Source organism: Homo sapiens, chromosome 8 (assembly GCF_000001405.40).
Source record: "Homo sapiens chromosome 8, GRCh38.p14 Primary Assembly".
Classification (NCBI taxonomy): Eukaryota; Metazoa; Chordata; class Mammalia; order Primates; family Hominidae; genus Homo; species Homo sapiens.
The window spans coordinates 144,771,892-144,798,338 of record NC_000008.11 but is presented as its reverse complement, the minus strand read 5'-3'; the positions used below and the strand labels follow the sequence as shown (position 1 = coordinate 144,798,338).

Below are 26,447 nucleotides of genomic sequence, written 5' to 3'. Positions count from 1 at the left end.
TCCCACCACCACGCCCGACTAATTTTTGTATTTTTAGTAGAGACGGGGTTTAACCATGTTGCCCGGGCTGATCTCGGACTCCTGATCTCAGGTGACCCGCCCGCCTCGGCCTCCCAAAGTGCTGGGATTACAGGCGTGAGCTACCGCACCGGGCCAGTTTCTGGGATCTTGAAGTGTCTTTGCTGCTCCCTCTGATCACTCTCAGACCACCTCTCCTGTCTGCACCCAAGGGTGGCCATTCTGACTTCTAACAGCCCTGTGACTTCTGTAAACATTTGTATGCTCTTTGTATTTACTAATTTAATCCTCATGGTAATCCTATCAAAATACTACTGTTCCCATACTAAAATGAGGAGAGCATAGTGTCCCTGTTATTTGCCAAGGTCTAGTCTCTTTTTTTGAGACGGAGTTTCACTGTTGTTGCCCAGGCTGGAGTGCAATGGTGCCATCTTGGCTCAACATTATCTCCACTTCCCAGGTTCAGGTGATTCTCCTGCCTCAGCCTCCCGAGCAGCTGGGATTACAGGCATGCGCCACCACGCCCGGCTAATTTTGTATTTTTAGTAAGGAGGGGGTTACTCCATGTTGGTCAGGCTGGTCTCTAACTCCCGACCTCAGATGATCTGCCAGCCTCGACCTCCCAAAGTGCTGGGATTACAGGCGTGAGCCACTGTGCCTGGCCAAGGTCTCATCTCTTAAGTAACAGAGCTGGGATCCAACCCACAGACCTGGCTCCAAGTCACATATTCTTTAGCCACTAAACTGTGTTGTGAAACCATCATGCAAGTGGGAGGAACAGTTCAATATATGAAACTCGGTGTTTCCCGAGTTCCCACTCACCTCCACACACACTTTAGAGATGGTTTCACACACACTCTAGGTTTTCAGATCCTCTGAATTGCAACCAGACCCTGGGAGGAGGAATGAGGATCAAAGAAGGTAAGGGACTCATCCAGAGCCACAGCTGGTTGGGAGCCGGGTCAGATTTGAGCACAAGACAGACCAGGAACCATCATTTTCTTCCTTTTCACAAGGACAGGGGAAACTGGGTGAGGAGGGTGATATCTGTCTAAGTAGGCTTAGCCCAGCACTCCACTATGGGTGGTGCTAAACTTGTATGATGTCTACATAGATCCTTGTCCCAGGACTGGATGCCCCTAGGTTCCTCAGATTCTTTGGGGGACCAAGGGTGTCTCCTGCATTCACACTGCTGACAGCGGATTTGCTCAGGAGTGAGGCACAGGCTGGGTAGGACAGAGGCACTCTTCACCAGGAGGGAATTGTGGGTACTTGCTGTGTCCTGACAGCCACAACCATCTTTGGGGGAGGGATCATGACTCCCCTCAGGGCCATGGCACATAATTTCAGACAATATGGGTATTGTGGTGAACTTGGATGTCCAAAAATTGTATGTAAATCCTGTGCTATTCTCTCATTGTAAAAGGATGCCAAAACTTCAACTATTTAATCACACATGTGAAGGGGTGGGTTGCCCCTCCACACCTGTGGGTGTTTCTCGTAAGGTGGAACGAGAGACTTGGAAAAGAAAAAGACACAGAGACAAAGTATAGAGAAAGAAATAAGGGGACCCGGGGAACCAGCGTTCAGCATATGGAGGATCCCGCCAGCCTCTGAGTTCCCTTAATATTTATTCATCATTTGTGGGTGTTTCTCTGAGAGGGGGATGTGTCAGGGTCACAAGACAATAGTGGGGAGAGGGTCAGCAGACAAACACGTTAACAAAGGTCTTTGCATCATAGACAAGGTAAAGGATTAAGTGCTGTGCTTTTAGATATGCATACACATAAACATCTCAATGCTTTACAAAGCAGTATTGCTGCCCGCATGTCCCACCTCCAGCCCTAAGGCGGTTTTTCCCTATCTCAGTAGATGGAACGTACAATCGGGTTTTATACCGAGACATTCCATTGCCCAGGGAGGGGCAGGAGACAGATGCCTTCCTCTTGTCTCAACTGCAAGAGGCATGCCTTCCTCTTATACTAATCCTCCTCAGCACAGACCCTTTACGGGTGTCGGGCTGGGGGACGGTCAGGTCTTTCCCTTCCCACGAGGCCATATTTCAGACTATCACATGGGGAGAAACCTTGGACAATACCTGGCTTTCCTAGGCAGAGGTCCCTGCGGCCTTCCGCAGTGTTTGTGTCCCTGGGTACTTGAGATTAGGGAGTGGTGATGACTCTTAAGGAGCATGCTGCCTTCAAGCATTTGTTTAACAAAGCACATCCTGCACAACCCTTAATCCATTTCACCCTGAGTTGACACAGCGCATGTTTCAGAGAGCACGGGGTTGGGGATAAGGTCATAGATTAACAGAATCTCAAGGCAGAAGAATTTTTCTTAGTACAGAACAAAATGGAGTCTCCTATGTCTACTTCTTTCTATACAGACACAGTAACAATCTGATCTCTCTTGCTTTTCCCCACACACAGGTGGGGTCCCAGAGAATGTTCACCCATGGCTTTATGTCAGGTTGACATGACGTATCCAAGCCATATAGACGGCAGGGGTCATGGAGATTTAGCACTCACTAACTCGTTGTGCTTCACAAAACAGCACCTTAACCCCTCTCAGAAAAATTCTAACACGCACCTCCAAGCTGTCCCCAAGCATGTGCAATCTCCATCCTCCCAACCACCCCACCTCTTCCTGCTGGCATTGGTCCCTGGGGTCTCCCCTCACCCACTCCTGAATGGGTAACAGGGGCTCCTATGGACTACCCCACCCCTGAGGCACTGAAAGCACATGGGAAAACTATCTCAGAGAATCTTGTTGGAAATACCTTTTCACAAGACATAGCTCCACAATTATAAGACACTAAATTAGAAAAGCAGCGTGCATGAGGTGGGTCATGGTGGCTCACACCTGTAATCCCAGCACTTTGGGAGGCCAAGGCGGGTGGATCACGAGGTCAGGAGTTCAAGACCAGCCTGCCCAAGATGGTGAAACCCCGTCTCCACTAAAAATACAAAAAATTAGCTGGGTGCGGTGGCGGGCGCCTGTAATCCCAGCTACTCGGGAGGTTGAGGCAGGAGAATCGCTAGAACTCTGTGGGCAGAAGTTGCAGTGAGTCGAGATCGCGCCACTGCACTCCAGCCTGGGCAACAGAGTGAGACTCCATCTCAGAAAAAAAGAAAAGAAAAGCAGTGTGCATGAAAAGTACTTAGATCAGTCCCTGGCCCATAAAAAGTGCCTAGCATTGGCCAGGCACGGTAGCTTATGCCTGTAATCCCAGCACTTTGGGAGGCCAAGGCAGGTGGATCACCTAAGGTCAGAAGTTCAAGACCAGCCTGACCAATATGGTGAAACACCGTCTCTACTAAAAAATACAAAAATTAGCTGGGCATGGTGGTGTGCGCCTATAGTCCCAGCTACTCGGGAGGCTGAGATAGGAGAATCGCTTGAACCCGGGAGGCGGAGGTTGCAGTGAGCCCCGATCACGCCATTGCACTCCAGCCTGGGCAACAAGAGCGAGACTCCATCTCAAAAAAAAAAAATATATATATATATATATTCATTCATTACGGAGTGATCCCATTTTAGCCATATGTGATGGTGTGCCCATATGTGGCATACAATTATGCTACGGGGGCGCGGTAGGGGGCAGGGAGATAAGGACACATCAGTTGTTGGGGATTGGGGGTGCGGGCAGATAATGCTGGTTGGGGAGGGGAGCCAAGCTGAGCAAGACAGAGGATCACAATTTCTCATGTTTCTACCAAATTACTGCTGCATGTATGTGACAAGAAACATTTGAAGAACAATTTCAGAAGGAAATAACTTTTTTTTTGAGGCACAGTTTTGCGCTTGTTTCCCAAGCTGGAGTGCAATGGCACAATCTCAGCTCACCACAACCTCCACCTCCTGGGTTTCAGTGATTCTCCTGCCTGAGCCTCCCGAGTAGCTGGGATTACAGGTACCTGCCACCATACCCAGCTAACTTTTGTATTTTTAGTATAGACGGGGTTTGTCCATATTGATCAGGCTAGTCTGGAACTCCTGACCTCAGGTGATCCGCCTGCCTCGGCCTCCCAAAGTGCTGGGATTACAGGCATGAGCCACCGCACCCGGCCGGAAATAAATAATTTCTAACAATAAAGTTTGAACAGCAGGTTGGGGTGACGTCGGATGGCATAAGGGAGGTCACCAGGCCACTAGCACAAGCAGAGGCACTGTGTGGGGAGGGACTAATCCTGGCCTAAGAAAGATGGCTCCACCCCAGAAGGCTGGAAAACCCCATGTCCAGTGCTTGCGGCCTCGTCTGGAGTGGCTGTCAAGTGACCCAGAACTGCATAGCCCCTGCTGTGTACCAGGCTGTGTGGTCTCCCGTGAAGGTCAAGACTGAGCCCAGTCACACAGTCCTCAGGACTGTCAGGTGGATGCTGGCAGGGCCATGTCTCTTCCAGCCTTAAAGCGGCCTGGTCAGTCTCCTGGCTGCACGTAGGGTCTTGGTAGCCGCATCTCATCCCAGAGACCCGTGAGACCATCTTGGGGACCCCACAGCCTGTGTGTCCAAGCACTCTTCTCACCTCTATCCCGCACCCAACTCTCCTTCTGCTCCTCCAGAGAAGCAGATTTGTTCAGGAGTGACGGACAGGCTGGGCCTGTGGGCCAATTTTGGGCTGACCCCAGAACCCCTCACCCTGCCCCCAGGGTCCAGTCCTGCCCCTCAGCCCCTGGCCCTAGCTGTGGGCTGTGCTGCTTCCTGAGTCCCCACCGGGCAGCTCCTCCTCCATCCCCCTGCCGACCCTAGGGGAGGGCCTCCTGCAGCAGCCCCTCCTCTCCCCTGTGAGCAACAGCGGGCACAGGACACCCTTCCACCCTCTCCTGTCTCCTTCTCACGATGTCAACCCTGCCTCAGCCCCTGCAGGGTCTAGGAAACACCCCACCTCCCAGTACCGACAGCAAGCCTCTCCCGCCCACTGGGACCCCCGCCTTCACCTCCTTGCTGCCTCCCCACCCACGGCCTCGCGTGTGCTCGACAGTGCTCACTCAGCCAGGGACTCTCTCCTGGAAAACCTCTTCCCCACCATCCCCCACCCGCGGCCTCGGGGTCCCACCCGTTAGGGGCCCGATTCCGCGAAGCCCCTCTCCACAGCACGTACCGCAGGACACCCCCAGTCGGGCTGACTCTTTCCAGCTCAGGCCCCCACAGCCCCTCCCAGCCTCCATTTCTTGCTCCTTCCCCACCTCTCCCGCACAGGGTTCTGGTCAGGGTACGGTCCAGTCTCCCATTATTCGTCCACTCCGCAGCATGTGACCCAGCCCATCCCCGCTCCTTCTTCCTCGACCCGGGACCCTCCAGCTTGGCCCTCCCCACTTCCTGGGCCGGCCGGCCCTCACCCTCGGCAAGGATCCCGGGGCTCCTCTCCTCGACGCCCGACCTCTCCAAGGGCCTACAGTGGATAAGGTCCCCGCGTCCAGAAGCGCCCGTTCATCAGGGAGACGGACATTTGCCACCTGCAAACCATGACGTTCCACGAGTGGGTCCACGCGTCTCCCCTGCCCATCTCCTGCTCTGCACCAGCGAGAACCCCCTCGGCCTACACGGAAGCCCCTCACCAGGCAAGCCGGGAGCCCCAGACCCCGTGGCCCGGAGTGGGTCGCTCTGTGACACCCTGGACAGGTCACTCAACCACTTGGCGCCTCCTCGGCCACTCAGAAAACACCTGCCCTCCCGGAGACCCCGGTGAAAGCCGAGCACTCCTGCACCCTCCTTCCGAGCCCACGCACACCAGGACACCTTCAGCCGCGTCTCCTGGTGCGCCTGCGCGGGGGCCCTGGAGGAGGAGAAGTAGGCGGGGCCGGCGGCCGCTGGTGACTACAAGCCCCGGCGTGCACCGCGCTAGGCTGGCCGTGGCGCGCCCGGAAGGTGTCGCGGCCCTGGGCCCCGCCCCGGAAGATAAGGCCGCTCGCTGACGCCGTGTTTCCTCTTTCGGCCGCGCTGGTGAACAGGTAGGTCATCCTTGCGGCCTTGCGGCATGGGCAGTATCCGCCGCCATCCTCTTCCGTGAGGCGCGCTGAGACCCGGACCGGCCCTCCTGAGAGGATGCCGGTGCGGGCGCCCGCGGAGAGGGTAGGGAGTGGTGGGCGCGGCGGCCTCGGGGGCGGGGTCCCGGAAAGCCGGGCTGGCGGGGGTACCCGGGCCGCCCGGCCGCGCTAATCGTGAGTCGCCCCCAGGACCCGTCGCCATGGGCCGTGTGATCCGTGGACAGAGGAAGGGCGCCGGGTCTGTGTTCCGCGCGCACGTGAAGCACCGTAAAGGCGCTGCGCGCCTGCGCGCCGTGGATTTCGCTGAGCGGCACGGCTACATCAAGGGCATCGTCAAGGTGCGGAACGCTGGCCGGGGCGGGAGGGGAAGGGACGCCCGGCCGGAACGCCGCACTCACGCCGCCTCTGCCCACAGGACATCATCCACGACCCGGGCCGCGGCGCGCCCCTCGCCAAGGTGGTCTTCCGGGATCCGTATCGGTTTAAGAAGCGGACGGAGCTGTTCATTGCCGCCGAGGGCATTCACACGGGCCAGTTTGTGTATTGCGGCAAGAAGGGTTAGCATCGCGGCGGGGAAGGAAGGTCGGGGTGGGGAGGGGTCTGGGTGTTGCCTGAGGAGTTAACGTCCTAAGCCGATATGGGAACCTCGCAGGCAGAAGCTTCAGGTGGGGACATCCGCGTGGCCAGACCAGTGGCCACCGGTGGGTGCCGAGAGAGTTGTACCGGGAGGCTGGATGTTGAATGCTGTGCTCGCAACTTCGCGGGTTGCCTAGAGCGAGGGGGTTCGCATTGTTTCTTACTGTGCTGACGGCCTGATGCTGCTTCCCCTTGCAGCCCAGCTCAACATTGGCAATGTGCTCCCTGTGGGCACCATGCCTGAGGGTACAATCGTGTGCTGCCTGGAGGAGAAGCCTGGAGACCGTGGCAAGCTGGCCCGGGCATCAGGGAACTATGCCACCGTTATCTCCCACAACCCTGAGACCAAGAAGACCCGTGTGAAGCTGCCCTCCGGCTCCAAGAAGGTTATCTCCTCAGCCAACAGAGCTGTGGTTGGTGAGTATCAGGCAGCAGTTGAATGCTGAGGGCTGTGGGTGAACATGCTGTGAGTGCCGGTGGACAGCCAGTGGCTAGACTTGGTCCCTGGAATTCGATTACCTGTTGTTCTAAAACTTGGGTTCTGTAAGTTTGAGCTCATCCTGTAGTCTCAGTTGTCATCACTGTACAACAGGCACAACAGTACCTGCTTTACTGCTGTTGAGGCGTTAAATGAGATTGGGACGAAGTCACCAGGGTCTTGGATTCTACCGTGGGCTTCCTGATTGCTGCACTTGCATGCAGTTGGTTAACAGCCTTTTTAGAGAAGGCAGGGAGAGATTGTGGCTTTCTCAAAGACGCCTACTGAGTGAGTGAAAAAGGATTTGAGTCTAGGTTAACTCACTGTGCTGTTTGGGAACATCTTGGAATCCTTGTGATGAACTCAGCCTCGCACAGGGGAGGCTCTGAGGTTGTGTTCCTGGAATAAGTAAAGCTGAGATGGGGCAGGCTGAATCAAGTGTCTTACGTCAGGTTGAGTGGCCGGCCTGACGTCTCACACATGGTGAGGGGGGTGCTTCCCTGCGCTTGGAGCTCAGCCAGCATTCTAGGTGATGGAGGTGAGGGCCTTGGCTTGCCTGCCCATTGTGGATTGAAGAAACTGGATGTCAGCTCACAGGGTGCAAGGGGCTCCCTAGGGTGGAGGCGAGTGGGCTTTTTGCTGGGTAGTTGGATGCAGTATTGGGAAGGTGCATGACAGGAGATTGAGGGGAGGTGGGGGTGCTCTGACCGACTGGGGGTTCCCTGAGGTATCTGATCCCCTACAGGTGTGGTGGCTGGAGGTGGCCGAATTGACAAACCCATCTTGAAGGCTGGCCGGGCGTACCACAAATATAAGGCAAAGAGGAACTGCTGGCCACGAGTACGGGGTGTGGCCATGAATGTAAGTAACCCAGAAATGCAGGGTTGGGTATTGAAGTTACAGTGGCCACACTGTTGGGTAGGCAAGTCCCATCCACAGGTGTCCCTGCAGGAGGGGGATCTACGGTGGGAGGAGCAGCAGGTGGTGGTTTGTAGTCACGGGACTGTTGATCCTGCTCCAGCACTCCTGAAGGAGGTGGGCTCACCCTCCTTCACCGTTTCTCCGCAAGAAACGGAGGCTGGGAGGGGCAGTGGGGGCCTGAGCTGGAAAGAGTCAGCCTGACTGGGGTTGTCTAGCGGCACATGCTGTGGAGAGGGGCTTCGCGGAATTGGGCCCCTGACGGGTGGGACCCCGAGGCCGGGGGCGGGGGTGGTGGGGAAGAGGTTTCTAAAGCCATCTTTCTCTGCCTGCAGCCTGTGGAGCATCCTTTTGGAGGTGGCAACCACCAGCACATCGGCAAGCCCTCCACCATCCGCAGAGATGCCCCTGCTGGCCGCAAAGTGGGTCTCATTGCTGCCCGCCGGACTGGACGTCTCCGGGGAACCAAGACTGTGCAGGAGAAAGAGAACTAGTGCTGAGGGCCTCAATAAAGTTTGTGTTTATGCCACCTGGCTGTGCCCACCCCCATGGTTTCAAAGGGAGGGGTCCCTGCTGGGAGGATTTCTGTGGGATCCCCCTGGTTGGTACTGGGAGGGAGTTAGACTACTGAAGTAGACCACCAGTGAGTGGTAGAAGCTTGAAGGGAAAGTCCACAACTAGAAACGGGGTGCAGGTACCCTGGGCAAGACCCTTGCTTCCCCACAGAGGGGACCAAGAATGTGGCATCCAGGACCTGACACTTATGTGGGTGACTCAGTCCCATGGCCTGCAGTGCTTGGATGTGAACACTCATTTCACGTATCAGGAAACAGAATAGGACACAATCGTTGAGCCTGGTGTTCTGGACCATACCCTCACTCTGTCAGCTCCCTGCTAACTTTCTCAGCACCTGAGGCAGTCCTTTGCCCAGGGTCTTTTAGCGACACCCTTTCCCTCCATACTGGCTACAGCCCTGCTGATGTCAGTGTGTTTAAGTCACTGCCAGGGATACCTGGCTTGCAGGTGTCTGCCTTGCACTGGGAACTTGGGATGGGCCCTGAAGGAATGTGGGACAGGCACCCTGTCTACAGCCAGGAAGCCATTCCTAGCCTGGCTTTTACCATTCTGTTCTGCATGCATTCCCACCCCGCCATGGTGGGGAGTGGTCACTGACTGGAGGGTTCTGGGTGCTTTTTCCTGTGGGTGGTGGGTGGGGCCTCATGCCTTTCCTCATTTTCTAGCCTGATAGTGACAGGTGAGGTTGAGGGTGGTGATTGAGTGTGGGGTCCCAGGTCACTGCTGGGATTGCTGAACAAAGGGATGAATGCATGCAGTGTGTGTATGGGGAATCCCAGACCACCCAAGTCCCTTCACCCACCCACCCAGAGCCCTACACTGGACTGGAGCTGGCACCAGCAGTAGGTTGGTCTGCTCCTTGAGTCCTGTAACTCCACAGCTTCGCAGGGCATGTAGCCCCCTCTTCCCTGGGGCAGAGAAACTAACCAGGAACAGCCCCCAAAGCTGCATTGATTACCTTAAAGCACATGGCCTTTCCCTGCTGGCAGGGGCTGATACTTTGGTTCTCTCTAGCTTTGGTAGTGATGAGGCTGACAGTGATGATTGAGTGGAATCAGGTTGGAAGTGTTGGGGAACCCCCCCTGCAATGGGAGGGCAAGTAAGCTGGTTTCCGTCACAAGGCAGAGTGGAGGGGCTTCCTGTTTGGCCATAGCCCATGGCATCTTGTCCCTTAACCATGATCCAATGAGGAGATCCCAGGACAGCATCCTATCAGCACTTTCACACGAGGAAGTTCCACCAGCGAATGCAGCAGCTGCAGATCACTGCCCCTAACAACACTCCTGTGGAACTGCAGCAGGCAGGATGAGGCACGGTCTCTCCCTATAGACTTGGTTGGAGGGTGCCTGGCAGGTGAGAATAGTCACCTTAGGCTTCCGTGGTCACTCCGGGATGACAAGTCCTAACTGGCTGCGCGGTGGTTCCTGGCTGTCATGGTCCACGCTGTCTCTAGAGAACCTTACCCCCCATTTCGTGATCTTGCTTTCCTGATCCTGCTGGTATGGCCCCACCTGTCTTTGGGCGCCCACCACACCTAGGCAGTGACCCAGCAGGGCCTGTTTATTTTAGACAGGCTCTCGCTATTGCCAGGCTGGTCTCAAGCCCCTGGCCTCATGTGGTCCTCCCACTCCAGCCCCGCCTCCCCGCCAGTAACTACGGGACCTGGTTTTGATCTCGTCATTCGCAGGGCCGGTCCCAGGGTCCCAGCTGACTTGTCGAGAAAGAATCCAGGAGGGCGGTGTTTCCTCCTGAAGGATGGAGGGGCATCTGGAAAGAGGGTTTTGGGAAAGCACTAGATGCTTAGCTTGGCCATAAGCGGTCACTGTTTTTCTGCTCCCTTCTGGGCAAAGTGGACGGCAGGGCTTGGCCGATGGACCGGCCATGAGGGAAAGTTTGTTCCAGAAGCAGCTCAGGCACCCGAAAAACCCTTTCTCCAGAGTGGACACTGGGCCCCATTTACAGGAGTTAAGGATGAGGAGCAATAGGTTAAACCCAAGACAGGCTTCTTTGGCCAGTAAGCATCCTTTCTTGGCCCTAAGGAAGGGTGCGGTTCCCGTTTCTCTGTAAATCGAAGGGCCTAGTTCTTGTTTGCGGCGCCTTTCGTGCATCATTAGGGAGAGAATTTCTCAGAAAAAGGGAAAGACTAATATGTTTTCGCCTCTGACCATCGCCCCAGTTCTGAGGCCTCTGGGCCGTGGCTTCGGACTGCCACCCGGTGGCAGCATTCCCGCTTTACGGCTTTGCCATTCGCGGGTCCCCGGAGCCTTACTGCAAGCCAGGGAGGTGGGCAGCCGACACGCGGCGTCCTAGCTTCCCAGAGCGGCCCGGACGGCGCCTCGGACCCAGACAGTCGGCTGACGTCACTTCCGGATCGGTTCCGATTGGCGGGGAGGGAGGGCCGAACGGGCGAGGTTGGGCTGCCGTGCTGCTCGGCGGCGCTGAGGTGAGTGTGAGCCCGGCGGGGGCGGGCGCGCGGGGCGCAGACCCTCCCGGCGCAGACCCTCCCCTGCGCGTTGCCCCTGTGCCCGGTCCTCTCGCGGTGCTGCAGGCGTGGGTCCGTCCCGCCATCAGCGGCACTTCCTGTTCGAGGGACCCCCCGGACAAGGCCCCGAGTACGGACTGCGCCTCGCCGCTCTCTGCCAGCCCTGGGGTCGCTCCTCACGGGGCTCCTTCCGCTCTCGAGCCCCTGACAACTCCCTTGCCCCACGCGGGGTCCCCTGGACTCCTGCCGCACAGAGCGGCTTCTGCGTCCCGATGCGCTCCAGACCCCTTGGTCCCAGCGGCCCGAGGCTTCCCATCCCGGCTCCCTCCCACGCTCCTCTCCTGTCAGCTTTTCAGGGGCGGGGCTCGTGCGTCTCGCGGTCCTCCCAGCCCTCTGCGAATGCCGCCCCTCCTGCCTTTAGCGTCCGCGCTCCGCCAGTGCTCCTCCCTCTGCTTGTGCCTTCCCTCCGCCCCACCCTCCTCGCTTCTGGCGCTCCAAGGCTTTTCTCCCCGCAGCCAGGCAGCCAGATTTTTGTTTCTCTTCTTTATTTTTTCTTTCTTTTCTTTTCTCTTCTCTTCCTTCTTTCCTTTCTCTCTCTCTTTTTCTGAGACGGAGTCTCGCTCTGTCGCCCAGGCTGGAGTACGATGGCGCGATCTCGGCTCAATGCACCTTCCGCCTCCCGAGTTCAAGGGATTCTCCTGTCTCAGCCTCCCGAATACCTGGGATTACAGGCGCCCGCCACCATGCCCAGCTAATTTTTGTATTTTTAGTAGAGATGGGGTTTAACCATGTTGGCCAGGCTGGTCTCGAACTCCTGACCTCAAGTGATCTGCCCGCCCCAGCCTCCCAGAGTGCTGGGAATACAGGCGTGAGCCACTGCGCCCGGCCTCGTTTTCTTATATCTCTACAAACCTAATACTGTTTTTGTCTCTTAAAAATCTACATATGTATGGCAGAGCACGGTGGCTCACGCCTGCAATCCCAGCACTTTGGGAGGCCAAGGCGCGGGGGGGATCACTAGGTCTGGAGATCGAGACCATCCTGGCTAACCCAGTGAAACCCCGTCTCTACTAAAAAATACAAAAAAATTAGCCGGGCGTGGTAGCGGGCGCCTGTAGTCCCAGCTACTTGGGAGGCTGAGGCAGGAGAATGACGTCAACTCGGGAGGCGGAGCTTGCAGTGAGCCAAGATCCCGCCACTGCTCTCCAGCCTGGGTGATGGAGCAAGACTCCGTCTCAAAAAAAAAAAAAAAAAAAAAAACTACCTATGTATTATACTGTGTATATTCTGTACCTGACAGTTTTTCTCAGCCTTATAACTGTGCTCTATCTCCTTGACATTACTTTCCACCACTCTGACTTTGCTGATGGACGCTGAAGTTTTTTCTTCTTCTACACAGGCACATGGTAACATTTTTGTGTTTCTTTTTGTGTGCATTAGCAAGAGTCTCCATAAAGTACATACTTCGAGTGGGGTTTCCCCACTGAGAGTTTTGCAGGGTTTCAGTTCTACCAGGTAGGGCCAGACATATTTCTAGAGTGTCTACCAGTTTACAGTGTTCTGAACATTTGGTATTATGAAGTATTTTATATTTCCCCAATCTGTGGGGAGAGTCTTGTTTTACTTTACATTTTTTCTTAATTAAAAAATTAGAGATGGGGTTCTCACTATGTTGCTCAGGCTAGAGTGCAGTGGCCACTCGCAGGCGTGATCCCACTACTGATCAGCACAGGAGTTTTGACCTGCCCTGTTTCCCACCTGAGCTGATTCACCCTTCCTTAGGCAATATGGTGGTCTCCTGCTCCCCGGATGTCACCATATTGATGCCGAACTTAGTGGGGACACCCAATTGGCACAGCAGCACTACAGCCCAGAACTCCTAGATTCAAGTGATCCTCCTGCCTCAGCCTTCTGAGTAGCTGGGACTACAGGGTTTGCCAGGTCATATCCTGTGTTCATTTATTAAAAATTGTGACATTTTTCTAATTTAAAAATGTTTTAAATATATTCTGTATATTTATACTTTGTTATGTGTCTGCAAATATCTTTCACTCTGCAGCTTGTCTGCTTGCCTTTTATCTTTGTGGTGTCTTGTACAGAATCCTTTTTCTTTTTTTTTTTTTTTTTTTTTTTGGCAGGGTCTGGCTAAGGCTGGAGTGCAGTGACACCATCTTGGCTCCCTGCAGCCTCCATCTCCCACTCTCAAACGATTCTTCTACCTCAGCCACCTGAGGTTTTGACTGGAACCACAGGCTCACACCACCACGTTGGCTAATTTTTGTAGAGCTGGGGTTTCACCATGTTACCCAGGCTGGTTTCCTACTCCTGAGCTCAAGCAATCTGGCCACCTCGGCCTCCCAAAGCACTGAGATTACAGGTGTGAGCTACCATGCCTGGCCTTTTTTCTTTTTGATGGAATCAAACAATCTTTTTCTTTATAGGCTTTTATTGTTTATTTATTTTTATTTCTATTTATTTTTTTGAGACAGAGTCTTGCTCTGTCACCCAGGCTGGAGTGCAGTGGCGTGATCTTGGCTCACTGCAACCTCCGCCTCCCGGGTTCAAGCGATTCTCCTACTTCAGCCTCCTGAGTAGCTGGGATTACAGGTGCCCGCCACCACGCCCGGCTAATTTTTGTATTTTTAGTAGAGACAGTGTTTCACCATCTTAGCTAGGCTGGTCTTGAACTCTTGACCTTGTGATCCACTCACCTCGGCCTCCCAAAGTGCTGGGATTACAGGCGTGAGTCACCGTGCCCGACCTTTTTTTTTTTTTTTTTTTAATGTTTAGGTCTTCAACCTGCCTGAAGTATATTTGTGTACCACAGAAGGCAGGAAACTAATTTTATTTTCCAATGGAAAACCAGTTGTGCCAATACCATTTATTGTCCTTCTTCATTGCCATTAATATTGCAGGTATATTAACATATCCATAGATGTCTTCCATTATCTTTTTTCCTATACTTAAACTTCACTTTCCATTACCATAGCCTAAGTCTTGATATCTAGTAGGGCACACCCTTGCCTCCTTTGGTTGTTTTTTTGGTATTGCCTTAGCTAATCTTTTTTTTTTTTTTTCTGGAGACGTAGTCTCGCTCTGTCACCCACGATGGAGTGCAGTGGTGTGATCTCGGCTCACTGTAACCTCCGCCTCCCGGGTTCGCGCCATTCTCCTGCCTCAGCCTCCCGAGTAGCTGGGACTACAGGCGCCTGCCACCATGGCCGGGCTAATTTTATATTGTTAGTAGAGATGGGGTTTCACCATGTTAGCCAGGATGGTCTCGATCTGACCTCGTGATCCTCCCGCCTTGGCCTCCCAAAGTGCTGGGATTATAGGCGTGAGCCACTGCGCCTGGCCACACTGCCTTGGCTAATCTTAGATCGTTACTATTTCATGTGATATTTGGAGTCATTTTGGTCAGATATCATGTCCTGTTGAAATGTTTATTATAATTGCACAAAATAAATTTAACTTGGGGATAATTGATATCTTTATGTTATTGAGCCCTCCTATTTAGAAACATTGTCTGTTTCTCCATAGACCTTTCTAAGGTACTTCAATAAAGTTTTATAATGTTGTTCATTACATACATATCTTTTTTTAAGACTTAATGTACTGTATAGTTTTTGTAGCTATTGTGAATGGTCAGTTTTCGGTTGCTGATTGCTGACAAATAGAAGTGGTATTAATTATTCTCTGTTGACCTTGTATATGGCAATGCTGTGGAACTCCTGTCATTCCAACAGTGGATTGATAACTCTTGGATTTTCTATGTAGATTATTTTTATCATTCTCAAAGAATGATGATTTTGTCTTTTTTCTTCTGATCCTTGTAGCTTATATTTCTTTTTTCTGTAACTTACTGCTTTGGCTAGGATGTTGAATAGCAGCAGGGTGAGGGAACGTCCCTCTCTTGTCACTGAATCTACTACAAGTGCTTCTAATGTGTCCTCTTAGTGTTGCGAACACAAACTTGAATGCATGGAACCCCAGGGTCCCTGAGCCACACTCTGAGAACTACTGCTATGCTTCCCAGGGTCAAGTGATCCTCCCACCTCAGCCTCCCAAGTAGCTGGGACTACAGGCATGTGCCACCAATCCGTGCTAATTTTTTTTATTTTTTGTAGAGACAGGCTGAGCTTGAACTCCTGGGTTCAAGCCATCTTCCCGCCTTGGCCTCCCAAAGTATGGGGATTACAGGCATGAGCCAACCACACCTGGCCTTTTGCTCTTTTTTTTTAATCTATTTAAAATGGTTTTATTTTAACCTGGGAGCATAGATTCAAATTGCCCTAAATATACACTCTTTCCTTTTTTGTTCCTGATAACATTTCCTTTTCTACTTTTCCATCTATTTTCTTTTCTTTTTTTTTTTTTTTTTTTTTTTTTTTTTTTTTGAGATAGGCTTTGGTTCTGTCTCTGTCACCCCAGCTGGAGTGCAGTGGTACGATCTTGATTCACTGCAGCTTCTGCCTCCTGGGCTCAAGCGATCCTCCCACCTCAGCCTCCCAAGTAGCTGGGACTACAGGCACATGCCACCATGCCTGGCTAATTTTTGTATTTTTTGTAGAGAGGGGTTTTGCCATGTTGCACAGGCTGGTCTTGAACTCCTGGGCTCAAGAGATCCACCTGCCCTGGCCTCCCAAAGTGCTGGGATTACAGCCGTGAGCCACCGTGCCCGGCCCTCCTTGAGTTACTTTCTTATTCTGTATCTGATTTCTTTTCTTTTGTTTTTTGTTTTTTGTTTTTGGACAGAGTCTCACTCTGTCGCCCAGACTGGAATGTGCAGTGATGTAATCTCAACTCACTGCAACCTCCACCTCCCGAATTCAAGTGATCCTCCTGCCCCAGTCTCCCAAGTTACTGGGATTACAGGTTCACGCCACCATGCCCGGCTAAGTTTTGTTTTGTTTTGTTTTGTGTCGGAGTCTCACTCTGTGGCCAGGCTGGAGTGCAGTGGTGCGATCTCGGCTCACTGTAACCTCTGCCTCCCAGTTTCCAGTGATTCTCCTGCCTCAGCCTCCCGAGTAGCTGGGATTACAGGTGCCCACCACCATGCCCAGCTAATTTTTATATTTTTAGTAGAGACGGGGTTTCACCAAGTTGGCCAGGATGGTCTTGATCTCTTGACCTCGTGATCCACCCGCCTCAGCCTCCCAAAGTGCTGGGATTACAGGCGTGAGCCACTGCGCCCAGCCCCAAGTTGTGTATTTTTTAGGAGAGATGGGGTTTCACCATGTTGGCCAGGCTGGTCTCGAACTCCTGACCTCAAGTGATCCACCCGCCTCGGCCTCCCAAAGTGCTGGGATTATAGACGTGAGCCACAGCCTGCATTTGATTTCTTGCTGAATACTTATTTATTTCAGGCTTTCCTGTTAAAATGAGTCTATTAAGGATGCACAATTTTCTTTAGGTAGGCTTGGTTCTATTTCCACTTTAGTTTCCATTTCTATATGTCTCTGGGGAGAGGGTTACTTTTCATATATTTCTAATATAACAACAATATGGATAGAAATTGTTTTGCCAAATGATATATTCTTTTGGGATTTGTTGAAACTTTCTCTGTTGCTTTGTTTTTTTTGGTAATGTTCAGTATGTTGAAAACAATGTGTGTTCTCTATGTTTTAAGCATGAGATTGTTTACTTGACCCACTTGTTTCTGAGGGAAGTATGTTAAAAATCTCGACTGGTCATGGTGGCTCCTGCCTGTAATCCCAGCACTTTGGGAGGCCAAGGCGGGCAGATCACAAGGTCAGGAGATCAAGACCATCCTGGCCAGCACGGTGAAACTCCGTCTCTACTAAAAATACAAAAAAAATTAAACGCACCTGTGGTCCCAGCTACTTGGGAGGCTGAGGCAGGAGAATGGCGTGAACCCGGGAGGCAGAGCTTGCAGTGAGCCAAGATCGCGCCACTGTACTCTAGCCTGGGCGACAGAGTAAGACTCCGTCTAAAAAAAAAAAAACTCACTCCAGAGGAGGATTTACCAGTTCCTGTTTGGTAGATCCATACTGTTTGTAATTATTACAGCTTTTTGGTGGGCTTTTAGTAATATGCAGTGTTTTATTTTTATTTTTATTTATTTATTTATTTATTTATTTATTTGAGATGGAGTCTCGCTCTGTCGCCCAGGCTGGAGTGCAGTGGTGCGATCTCAGCTCACTGCAAGCTCTGCCTCCCGGTTCACACCATTCTCCTGCCTCAGCCTCCCAAGTAGCTGGGACTATAGGCCCCCGCCACCACGCCCGGCTAATTTTTTTTGTATTTTCGGTAGAGACAGGGTTTCACCGTCAGCCAGGATGGTCTCGATCTCCTGACCTCGCCATCCACCCGCCTCAGCCACCCGAAGTGTTGGGATTTCAGGGGTGAGCAACCACGCCTGGCCAGTAATATGCAGTGTTTTTTTTATTCCTATTAGTGATTTTCGCTTTCTTTGCTTTTCTTTTTTTGGAGATGAAGTCTTGCTCTTGTCCCCCAGGCTGGAGTGCGATGGCGCGATCTCGGCTCACTACAACCTCCGCCTCCCGGGTTCAAGCGATTCTCCTGCCTCAGCCTCCTGAGTAGCTGGGATTACAGGAGCCCGCCACCACGCCCGGCTAATTTTTGTATTTTAGTAGAGACAGGGTTTCACCACATGGTGGCCAGGCTGGTCTCGAACTCCTGACCTCAGGTGATCCACCCGCCTCAGCCTCCCAAAGTGCTGGGATTGCAGGCGTGAGCCACCACACCCGGCCAGTTCTGTTCTTTCTTGACTGTGGTGCTGGTTCCATGGGCTTGTGCAATTTGTCATGGTCCACTGAACTGTGTACTCAGGATTTGTCAACTTTTATGATAAAAATATACTTAAATAAAAAGCTTTAAAGATACAGAAAAGATATATAGCTACCACAGCTTCATTTTAACTAGTGTTTGATCTAATATTAACTAATACTTAGCCTTTCTGTGTTATTTTATTTTAGGCCAAATAGTTGCATCACATGTATCTAATCCGAGAGTCTCATGCTTCTGGTAGGTGAGTCAATCTTATTTTACTTATTTATTTTGAGACAGGGTTTTGCTTTGTTGCCCAGGCTGGAGTGCAGTGGTGCGATCACAGCTCACTGCAGCCTCTACTTCCTGGGCCCAGGTGATCCTCCCACCTCAGCCTCCCAAGTAGCTGGGACTACAGGTGTGTGCCATCACAGCCAGCTAATTTTTTTTTTTTTTTTTTTTTGGTAGCATTAAGGTCTCCCTATGTTGCCCAGGCTTGTCTCAAATTCCTGGGCTCAAGCTGTCCTCCCGCCTCAGCCTCCCAAAGCGCTAGGATTACAGGTGTGAGCCACCGAGCTTGGCCCCTTCTATCATTTTTAATTTTTTCTTCCTTAGCCCTTAACATTTTGTCTTCATTCTTCCATGTAAAGTGAATGAGTATTGTCGTTTTCCTCCTGAATGAGACAGCTTAGCATGCCAGAGCAGGGAGGGGGATAGACGGCCCGAGGGCAGCAGGCAGTAGAGGTGACTGGAGGCTGGGCACTTTGGTGCACTCCTTTAATCCCAGCACTTTGGGAGGCCGAGGCAAGAGGATTGCTTGAGCTCAAGAGTTCAAGACCAGCCTGGGCAAAACCCCATCTGTACAAAAAAATACAAAAATTAGCCAGGTGTGATTGTTGGGGTGATCAGACCCAACACCAGGCCATGGGGGCTATGAAGTCCAGCGGAGTCAAAGGAATGAGAAAAGACAGGTTAAGAGTACTTAAGGTGGGTCCAGGGGGCCAACGCTAGTATGGAGGCTGTGAAGGCACCAAGCTCTGGGAGCCCACACTATTTATTGATGATCGAACAAAGAAGCAGGTGGTGAGGATGTGCGGACATGAGGGTAGACAGGTGAGGACATGAGGACATGGGGATAGAAAGGTAGCGGTGCATCAAGCGTAGCTGTGACGGTTTAGCATTTTCTTTGACACATATGTACTATGCTCTGCTACCTGAGATAATGGAGAACATGTTTATGAGCCTGGGAGAGCAAGAAGCAAGGAACCAACAAGTCTGTGCACATTCCAGAGGCCATGAGGGTTTTGTGCCCTGAGCCCTGGATTCCATCCAAGCCACGAGGGGTTTTGTGCCCTGAGCCCTGGATTCCATCCAAGCCACAAGGGGTTTTGTGCCCTGAGCCCTGGATTCCATCCAAGCCATGAGGGTTTTTATGCCTTGGCTTAGATTATGGAGCGGCAGGGCAGCCTTCCCCCCTTTGGCACAGAGCTTGGTGTTCCAAAGGCCATGAGGGGGTTTGGACCCTGGACCCAGGACGTGTTCCCAGACTCTTTTACATTATGGCAGACAAGCTAGTCCTGCCTCAGCTCTTCCACCAACAGTGGTGGTGCGCGCCTGTAGTCCTAGCTACTCAGGAGGCTGAGGTGAGAGAACTGCTTGAGCTCAGGAGGTCGAGGCTGCAGTGAGCCGAGATCACGCCACTGTCCTCTAGCCTGGGCAACTAAGAGAAACCCTGTCATGTCATTAAAAAAAAAAGAAAGAAAAAAAAGAGGTGGAGCTGGAGAGGGCAGCCCCAGGCAAAGAGTGGAGTCTATGTCCGGGAGGCCAGCTAGCAGTACCCACATTGGGATGGGCAGGGGTGGACCAGTGAGGCAGGCAGGGCTGTTTATGGCAGCACCAAGTAGCCTGAGCTGTGGAAGAAGGGGCCAGACTGGGCCTCCACTTGTTGCGTTCTCTTCCCTCAGCTCCTCAGTGACCAGCTCCTGCTCACTGCCCTCAGAAAGCCCAACCCTCAGGCAATGGCGGCCTTGTTCCTGTCTGCCCCACCCCAGGTGAGTGTCTGTCCTCCTGGGAGGAGTGAAGTTTTTACCCAGGGCTTTCCTTGGCAAACACTGCCAGGTGTCTCTGGTTTGGGATGCTGACATGATGGTAGGGGTGGCCCTGAGACCCCCATGCAGCCACCCCTTGGGATGTATTAGCTGGCTCGGTGGCAGATGGGTCAGGCCACCCACTGTGCTGCTGCCTTTAGCATGCTTCTGCTGCCTCCCCGCCCCTACCAGCCCACTCTGGACCACACCTGGGCTGCAGTAGTCCCTGTCATTCCAGGCCGAGGTGACCTTCGAGGACGTGGCTGTGTACCTCTCCCGGGAGGAATGGGGCCGCCTGGGCCCTGCTCAGAGGGGCCTCTACAGGGACGTGATGCTGGAGACCTACGGGAACCTAGTCTCACTGGGTAAGGCCCTCACCAGAACTCAGCTCTGGGAACAGCCCTGGGGGCTAAGGGCTCAGCAGAGGCTGGGCTAGGGGCCTCACCCCCTGGGCACAGATAGGTGATGACCTTTATCCCAGGCAGGCACCTGATCTGAGAAGATGAGGGGAAGAGCAGTGCTGGGACCTTCCTGAGTCAGCCCTTCCCTTCCCTCTCGCCCCAGGTCCCAGGCAGACCCCTCCCTGGTAGGGCGGGGGACACCGGGGGGGCGGAGTTGCATACCTCCTAGTGGAGGGAACCCCTGAGCTCTCATTCCCTTATGCTCAGGACTGCCCCAGCCCAATCTCAGTGCCCTCCAGAGAGTGTCCAGGCTTCCATCACCCCCTCTGCCTGTGCCTCCCTTACCCTGCAGCCCCAGGGTGAGACAGCACTAGGTGCTGCCCTGTGTCCTTGGTACCAACCCCAGTCCCTGTCTCCTTCCCAGGAGTAGGACCTGCAGGCCCCAAGCCTGGAGTGATCTCGCAGTTGGAGCGAGGGGATGAGCCCTGGGTCCTGGATGTTCAGGGCACCTCTGGGAAAGAGCACCTGAGAGTCAACAGCCCAGGTGCGTGAGGGGATCTGCTCCCCAACTCAAGTCACCGAACGAGCCTTTATTGGGGTCCAGGGTGTCTGATTAATGAATCAGGAGTTTGTGGGCCAGATTCATCGGGGCTAGCACAGGAGGCCTGACAGTGGCCTTTGCTGAAGCCCAGGTGACCCCTCTCAGTCTGGGCACCTTGGTGGGGAGATTATTGAGCAGAATCTCTCCAGGGCAGCATTTCTGTGGAAAATAGGAATGGACATTCCAGGCAAGGTCCCGTGTAGAGGGGAGTGAGTAGGTGCAGAACAGGGGTGCTGTTAGGGTCTGCGGAACCCCACAGAACCCTGCGCTCCAGAGCTGATGCCAGATAATGAGGGCCTAATGATGGAGCTATCATTTAATTCCCCTCTCTTCTAAATTAATACACTGCGGAAAAGTGAGAGACTACACATCACCCTGAATCTCACTACCCAGACATAGTTGTGTTGTAGTATATTTCTGCTATTCCTTTTCTAGCACTGGCCTTTCCACTGTTATGTACTGACACTGCTTTTTTTTTTTTTTTTTTTTGAGACAGGGTCGCCCTCTATCACCCAGGCTGGAGTGCAGTGGTATGATCATGGCTCACTGCAGCCTTGACCTTCTGCACTTAAGCGATCCTCCCATCTCAGCCTCCCGAGTAGCTGGGACCACAGGCATGTCATGTGTCACTCACACTAATTTTTTGATTTTTTTACAGAGACGAGGTTTCACTGTGTTGCCCAGGCTTGTCTCGAACTCCTAGGCTCAAGCGATCCTCTCGCCTTGGCCTTCCAAAGTTCTGGAGTTAAAGTGTGAGCCACTGCCACTGCACCTGGCTCAGATGCTGTTGCTTTTTTATTTTTTGAGACAGAGTCTCGCTCTGTCACCCAGGCTGGAGTGCAGTGGCGCAATCTTAGTTCACTGCAACCTCCACCTCCTGGTTTCAAGCGATTCTGCCTCAGCCTCCTGAGTAGCTGGGACTACAGGTGCCTGCCGCCATGCCTGGCTAATTTTTGTATTTTTAGTAGAGACAGGGTTTCACTGTGTTGACCAGGCTGGTCTCAAACCCCTGGGCTCAAGCGATCCTCCCACCTTGGCCTCCCAAAGTACTGGGATTATAGGTGTGAGCCATTCTTTTTTTTTTTTTTTGAGACAGAGTCTTGCTCTGTTGCCCAGGCTGGAGGGCAGTGGTGTGATCTCGGCTCACTGCAACCTCTGCCTCCCAGGTTCAAGCAATTCTTTTGCCTCAGCCTCCCCAGTAGCTGGGACTACAGGTGCACGCCACCATGCCTGGCTAATTTTTGTATTTTTAATAGAGACGGGGTTACACCGTATTGGCCAGGCTGGTCTCAAGCTCCTGACCTTGTGATCCGCCTGCCTTGGCCTCCCAAAGTGCTGGGATTACAGCCACTGTGCCTGGCTGACACTGCTTCTTAACAGAAATGATAGTGTGTTCTGCTGTGCAGACACGGAATGTGTTTCCATTTCTGTGCGCATGAGTCTCAGTCATGTCTTCAGTGCAAGTGCAGGCCAAAAGATTGGATAGCTCTGATGGTCACCTTTTTGCATGTGTCTGATGGTGTCTGAGGAAGGAACTGCTGGCTCAAAGGACTTCTTATTTTGTAAATTTGCTTATTTGAATGTAAATATCTATAGAAATAGGACAAACCCTAAGTTTATAACTCAGTGAATTTTTATGAAAAATCATCCTTCAGATTAAAATACAGACTGTTTCCGCTCCCCAGGAGCTCCCTGGCTCTCCTCTGCCATTTCCCACTGCTCCCCACAGGGGTCTTCTTTCTGACTCCTGTCACAAGAGGCTGCTTCCTCCTTTGGATTTTTCTGTGTAGACTCACACAGGGCATCTTTTGCTGAACACTGTGAGAGCTGCTTGTGTTTCATGGAGTAGCAGTGTGGTCTGTTTGGTTGCCATTGTTCTATTGTATGAACACACCACAACTTATGTTCCCTTCTACTTGTGGAGGACATTCAGTTGTCCAGGTTTGGGGTTGTACAGGAACTGCTGTGGACACTCTTGTGCATGTCTCTCTCTGGCGCCCGGAATACATTTCTGGCGCGTGTGTACCTGGGAGCAGAGTCACTGAGTCAGCATTTTCATAGATCAGCTTTAGATAAGGTTGCCAAGCCGTCCTCCAAAGCAGCAGCTCCAGCATAGGCTCCTGTAGTAGTGTGTGAGCACCGTCTGCTGCACATCTTGGCAGATATTGGTGTTCAGCACCTGTTCATGTGCAGTGCAGAGCCAGGCAAGGGGTGGAAGGATAGACCCCTTAGGACTAGGAAGAGAGCAGTAATGAAAGTGGCAGTCATGAGGTGCTTGCACCTGGAACTCACTGTGCTGGGCACTGGGCTGAGTGCTTCATGGTCAGTCTGTTGTATTAATCTGTTTTGTTCTCATGAGAGTGCCATGTGGTCACAGATGGAGAAACCAAGGCTCAGAAAGGTAGGTGAGTTGTTGCCTCAGGTGACTCAGCTGGCAAGTAGGGGCCAGGACTAATCAATCCTGACTGTGGCTGCTGGTATCAGTCTCTGAGCGGCCATGTGGCAGGACCCCACTTGGGTACTTGTCACTCTCCATTCTTGGGGAGTGGCCACCCAGGAGAGGTTTGTTGTGTGAGTGTCAAATCAAGGAAGGAAGGAGTGAATGTTTGAAGGGCTGTATGACTGTGGCCCCAGGTGAGCTGCATAAGCCTCTGAGCTCCAGGCTCTTATCTTTGCAAGGCTGTTGGGACTTTGGAGATGATCAAATTGGTTCCCCACAGGTGGCCAGCAGCATCTCATGCCTACCTTCCAGAGTCAGAGCAGGTGACCCTTAGATGTTCTGTTTTTTGTTTCAGCTCTTGGGACCAGAACTGAGTACAAGGAGTTGACTTCACAGGAGACATTTGGTGAGGAAGATCCCCAGGGATCTGAGCCAGTAGAAGCCTGTGACCACATCAGTAAGTCAGAGGGGAGCCTGGAAAAGCTAGTGGAGCAGAGAGGCCCCAGGGCAGTCACACTGACCAACGGGGAGAGCAGCAGGGAGTCTGGGGGAAACCTCAGGTTGCTGTCAAGACCTGTTCCTGATCAGAGACCTCACAAATGTGATATATGTGAGCAAAGTTTTGAACAGAGATCATATCTCAACAACCATAAGCGTGTACACAGGTCAAAAAAAACAAATACAGTTCGTAACTCTGGGGAAATCTTCAGTGCAAACTTAGTTGTTAAAGAAGATCAGAAAATTCCTACTGGGAAAAAATTGCATTATTGCAGTTACTGTGGGAAAACATTCAGGTACAGTGCCAACCTTGTCAAGCATCAGCGGCTTCACACTGAAGAGAAGCCCTACAAATGTGATGAGTGTGGGAAAGCCTTCAGCCAGAGCTGCGAGTTCATCAATCACCGAAGGATGCACTCAGGAGAGATTCCCTACCGGTGTGACGAGTGTGGGAAGACATTCACCCGGAGGCCCAACCTCATGAAGCACCAGAGGATTCACACTGGGGAGAAACCCTACAAGTGTGGGGAGTGTGGGAAGCACTTTAGCGCCTACTCTTCCCTGATTTATCACCAGAGAATCCACACCGGAGAGAAACCCTATAAATGTAATGACTGCGGGAAAGCCTTCAGTGATGGCTCAATCCTTATCCGACATCGTCGGACTCACACCGGAGAGAAGCCATTTGAGTGCAAGGAATGTGGCAAAGGCTTTACACAAAGTTCTAACCTTATCCAACATCAGAGAATTCACACTGGAGAGAAACCCTATAAATGTAATGAATGTGAGAAAGCTTTCATTCAAAAAACCAAACTCGTGGAACATCAGAGAAGCCACACTGGAGAGAAGCCCTATGAATGCAATGACTGTGGCAAAGTTTTCAGCCAAAGCACACACCTCATCCAGCACCAGAGAATCCACACAGGAGAGAAGCCCTACAAGTGCAGCGAGTGTGGGAAGGCCTTCCACAACAGTTCCAGACTCATCCACCACCAGAGGCTGCACCACGGAGAGAAACCCTACAGATGCAGCGATTGCAAGAAAGCCTTCAGCCAGAGCACGTACTTGATTCAGCACCGGAGGATCCACACCGGGGAGAAGCCCTACAAGTGCAGCGAGTGTGGGAAGGCCTTCCGGCACAGTTCCAACATGTGTCAGCATCAGCGGATTCACCTCCGGGAGGACTTCTCCATGTAACAGTGGCGCGGTGTCCGAGGGCAGAGTCCAGCTGAGCACTTCCTGCATGCGCCCCCGGCACCTGACTCTGCCCTTTATGTATTATCCACACGATGTTTTCACAGAGTGAAAGGACGTTTCTCATTAAACAAACCTCTTTTCTTAAATCAAAAGCAGTGCATGTTCATTTTAGAGAAATTGAGACAGAAAAGTGGGCAAAAAAGAAGCTTCTGTGATCTCTCCCACTTAGAAAAAAAATTCATTGCTGCTGATTTACGAATATTTTCGAGACATACTGGAGAGCATTTTAAAAAGAAAATACCGTAATGCTTGTCATTGCAGCACCTAGGATCTTCACTTTTGCTATTTCCTCAATATCAGAAAATTCACACTGAAGAGAGCACCATATATTTTAACATTTTTACATATTGTAAATTTAAAAGCATCGGCCAGGTGTGGTGGCTCATGCCTGTAATACCAGCATTTTGAGAGGCCAAGGTGGGTGGATCACTTGAGGTCAGGAGTTTGAGACCAGCCTGGCCAACATGGTGAAACCCCGTCTCTACTAAAAATACAAAAATTAGCCAGGTGTGGTGGTGGGTGCCTGTAATCCCAGCTACTCGGGAGGCTGAGGCAGGAGCATTGCTTGAACCTGGGAGGCGGAGGTTGCAGTGAGCCAAGACTGTGCCACTGTACTCCAGCCTGGGTGACAGAGCGAGACGCTGTCTCAAAAAATAAATGAAACAAACTTAACATTCATACTTTTTATGTCAATAGAGTTGAAGTTGCCTTTAACTGTGGTGAAATAACATAATATGAAATTTACAATTTTAACCATTTTTAAGTGTACAATTCAGTGGCATTAAGTACATTCATGGTGTTGTGTAACCATCATCACTGTGTATTTCCAGAACTGTTTTATTACTCCAAACAGAAACCCTGTACCTATTAAATAATAACTCTTCATTTCCCCCTTCTCCCTACTGCTGGTAACCTCAATTCTATTTTCTGTCTCTTTGAATTTGCCTATTCTAGGAACATAAATATGTGTGGAATCATGCAATCTGTGTTTCTTTCTATGTCTGGCTTAGTTCATTCAGCATAATGTTTTCAAGGTTTCTCTGTGTTGTTTCCTGTTTCAGAACTCCATTACTTTTTTTTTTTTTGAGACCGGGTCTTACTCACCCAGGCTGGAGTGCAATGGCATGATCTTGGCTCTGCAACTTCACCCTCCCAGGTTCAAGCAACTCTTTCACCTCACCCTCTTGAGTAGCTGGGACCATAGGCGCATGCCACTGTGCCTGGCTAATTTTTGTATTTTTTGGTAGAGATGGGGTTTCACCACGTTGCTCAGGCTGGTTTCAAACTCCTGTCCTCAAGTGATCCACCCACCTT

General features: G+C 51.9%; 2 protein-coding genes, 1 non-coding gene and 1 pseudogene across 22 annotated transcripts, besides 9 other annotated features; 3 read left to right on the top strand and 1 right to left on the bottom strand.

Moving 5' to 3' along the window:
* Positions 818-1,716: an enhancer, noted in NCBI's record as "NANOG-H3K27ac-H3K4me1 hESC enhancer chr8:146022008-146022906 (GRCh37/hg19 assembly coordinates)". NCBI's record gives its function as "activates a minimal SCP1, AML or CMV promoter by ChIP-STARR-seq in naive H9 embryonic stem cells {active_cell/tissue: H9 hESC(naive)}" and the evidence as "EXISTENCE:reporter gene assay evidence [ECO:0000049][PMID:30033119]".
* Positions 1,717-2,615: an enhancer, noted in NCBI's record as "NANOG-H3K27ac-H3K4me1 hESC enhancer chr8:146021109-146022007 (GRCh37/hg19 assembly coordinates)". NCBI's record gives its function as "activates a minimal SCP1, AML or CMV promoter by ChIP-STARR-seq in naive H9 embryonic stem cells {active_cell/tissue: H9 hESC(naive)}" and the evidence as "EXISTENCE:reporter gene assay evidence [ECO:0000049][PMID:30033119]".
* Positions 3,909-4,857: an enhancer, noted in NCBI's record as "H3K27ac-H3K4me1 hESC enhancer chr8:146018867-146019815 (GRCh37/hg19 assembly coordinates)". NCBI's record gives its function as "activates a minimal SCP1, AML or CMV promoter by ChIP-STARR-seq in primed H9 embryonic stem cells {active_cell/tissue: H9 hESC(primed)}" and the evidence as "EXISTENCE:reporter gene assay evidence [ECO:0000049][PMID:30033119]".
* On the top strand, positions 5,949-8,570 carry RPL8 (ribosomal protein L8). 4 transcript variants are annotated; one of them, NM_000973.5, is made up of 6 exons: positions 5,949-5,973; positions 6,199-6,347; positions 6,425-6,566; positions 6,844-7,062; positions 7,869-7,984; positions 8,377-8,570. In NM_000973.5, the coding sequence occupies exons 2-6, from the start codon at positions 6,210-6,212 to the stop codon at positions 8,533-8,535; spliced, it is 774 nt and encodes a 257-aa protein (NP_000964.1). In that variant the 5' UTR covers positions 5,949-5,973; positions 6,199-6,209; the 3' UTR covers positions 8,536-8,570. The 4 variants fall into 4 exon arrangements, with proteins under 4 accessions (NP_000964.1, NP_001304700.1, NP_150644.1 ...); NM_001317771.2 differs by having other exon boundaries at positions 5,949-6,073; NM_033301.3 differs by having other exon boundaries at positions 5,949-6,094.
* Positions 6,028-6,247: a silencer, noted in NCBI's record as "silent region_19709". NCBI's record gives its function as "represses an Ori minimal core promoter by ATAC-STARR-seq in GM12878 lymphoblastoid cells {active_cell/tissue: GM12878}" and the evidence as "EXISTENCE:reporter gene assay evidence [ECO:0000049][PMID:35858748]".
* MIR6850 (microRNA 6850) lies at positions 6,348-6,408 on the top strand. The gene has a single exon (NR_106909.1). It is a non-coding gene; the product is annotated as a microRNA 6850 (primary transcript).
* Positions 7,270-7,769: an enhancer, noted in NCBI's record as "H3K4me1 hESC enhancer chr8:146015955-146016454 (GRCh37/hg19 assembly coordinates)". NCBI's record gives its function as "activates a minimal SCP1, AML or CMV promoter by ChIP-STARR-seq in primed H9 embryonic stem cells {active_cell/tissue: H9 hESC(primed)}" and the evidence as "EXISTENCE:reporter gene assay evidence [ECO:0000049][PMID:30033119]".
* Positions 7,770-8,271: an enhancer, noted in NCBI's record as "H3K4me1 hESC enhancer chr8:146015453-146015954 (GRCh37/hg19 assembly coordinates)". NCBI's record gives its function as "activates a minimal SCP1, AML or CMV promoter by ChIP-STARR-seq in naive H9 embryonic stem cells {active_cell/tissue: H9 hESC(naive)}" and the evidence as "EXISTENCE:reporter gene assay evidence [ECO:0000049][PMID:30033119]".
* Positions 10,454-10,513: an enhancer, noted in NCBI's record as "active region_28103". NCBI's record gives its function as "activates an Ori minimal core promoter by ATAC-STARR-seq in GM12878 lymphoblastoid cells {active_cell/tissue: GM12878}" and the evidence as "EXISTENCE:reporter gene assay evidence [ECO:0000049][PMID:35858748]".
* Positions 10,554-10,783: an enhancer, noted in NCBI's record as "active region_28102". NCBI's record gives its function as "activates an Ori minimal core promoter by ATAC-STARR-seq in GM12878 lymphoblastoid cells {active_cell/tissue: GM12878}" and the evidence as "EXISTENCE:reporter gene assay evidence [ECO:0000049][PMID:35858748]".
* Positions 10,934-11,293: a silencer, noted in NCBI's record as "silent region_19708". NCBI's record gives its function as "represses an Ori minimal core promoter by ATAC-STARR-seq in GM12878 lymphoblastoid cells {active_cell/tissue: GM12878}" and the evidence as "EXISTENCE:reporter gene assay evidence [ECO:0000049][PMID:35858748]".
* On the top strand, positions 11,022-26,115 carry ZNF34 (zinc finger protein 34). Of its 17 annotated transcripts, XM_047422269.1 has the most exons (8): positions 11,022-11,060; positions 12,540-12,614; positions 16,466-16,512; positions 18,059-18,107; positions 19,814-19,900; positions 20,175-20,301; positions 20,762-20,881; positions 23,734-26,115. In XM_047422269.1, the coding sequence occupies exons 4-8, from the start codon at positions 18,099-18,101 to the stop codon at positions 25,071-25,073; spliced, it is 1,683 nt and encodes a 560-aa protein (XP_047278225.1). In that variant the 5' UTR covers positions 11,022-11,060; positions 12,540-12,614; positions 16,466-16,512; positions 18,059-18,098; the 3' UTR covers positions 25,074-26,115. The 17 variants fall into 17 exon arrangements, with proteins under 17 accessions (XP_047278225.1, XP_047278226.1, NP_001364956.1 ...); XM_047422270.1 differs by lacking the exon at positions 12,540-12,614; NM_001378027.1 differs by lacking the exon at positions 12,540-12,614 and having other exon boundaries at positions 18,059-18,111.
* Positions 12,751-13,041, bottom strand: RN7SL395P (RNA, 7SL, cytoplasmic 395, pseudogene; annotated as a pseudogene).
* Positions 26,116-26,447: the final 332 nt, after the last annotated feature.

Coding starts and splice junctions, on each gene's coding strand:
- RPL8 (NM_000973.5), top strand. CDS start 6,210: ATGGGCCGTGTGATCCGTGGACAGAGGAAGGGCGCCGGGTCTGTGTTC. Junction 7,063..7,868: donor AGCCAACAGAGCTGTGGTTG/GTGAGTATCAGG, acceptor GATCCCCTACAG/GTGTGGTGGCTGGAGGTGGC. Junction 7,985..8,376: donor TACGGGGTGTGGCCATGAAT/GTAAGTAACCCA, acceptor CTCTGCCTGCAG/CCTGTGGAGCATCCTTTTGG.
- ZNF34 (NM_030580.5), top strand. Junction 19,901..20,174: donor TCCTGTCTGCCCCACCCCAG/GTGAGTGTCTGT, acceptor CTGTCATTCCAG/GCCGAGGTGACCTTCGAGGA. Junction 20,302..20,761: donor CGGGAACCTAGTCTCACTGG/GTAAGGCCCTCA, acceptor TCTCCTTCCCAG/GAGTAGGACCTGCAGGCCCC.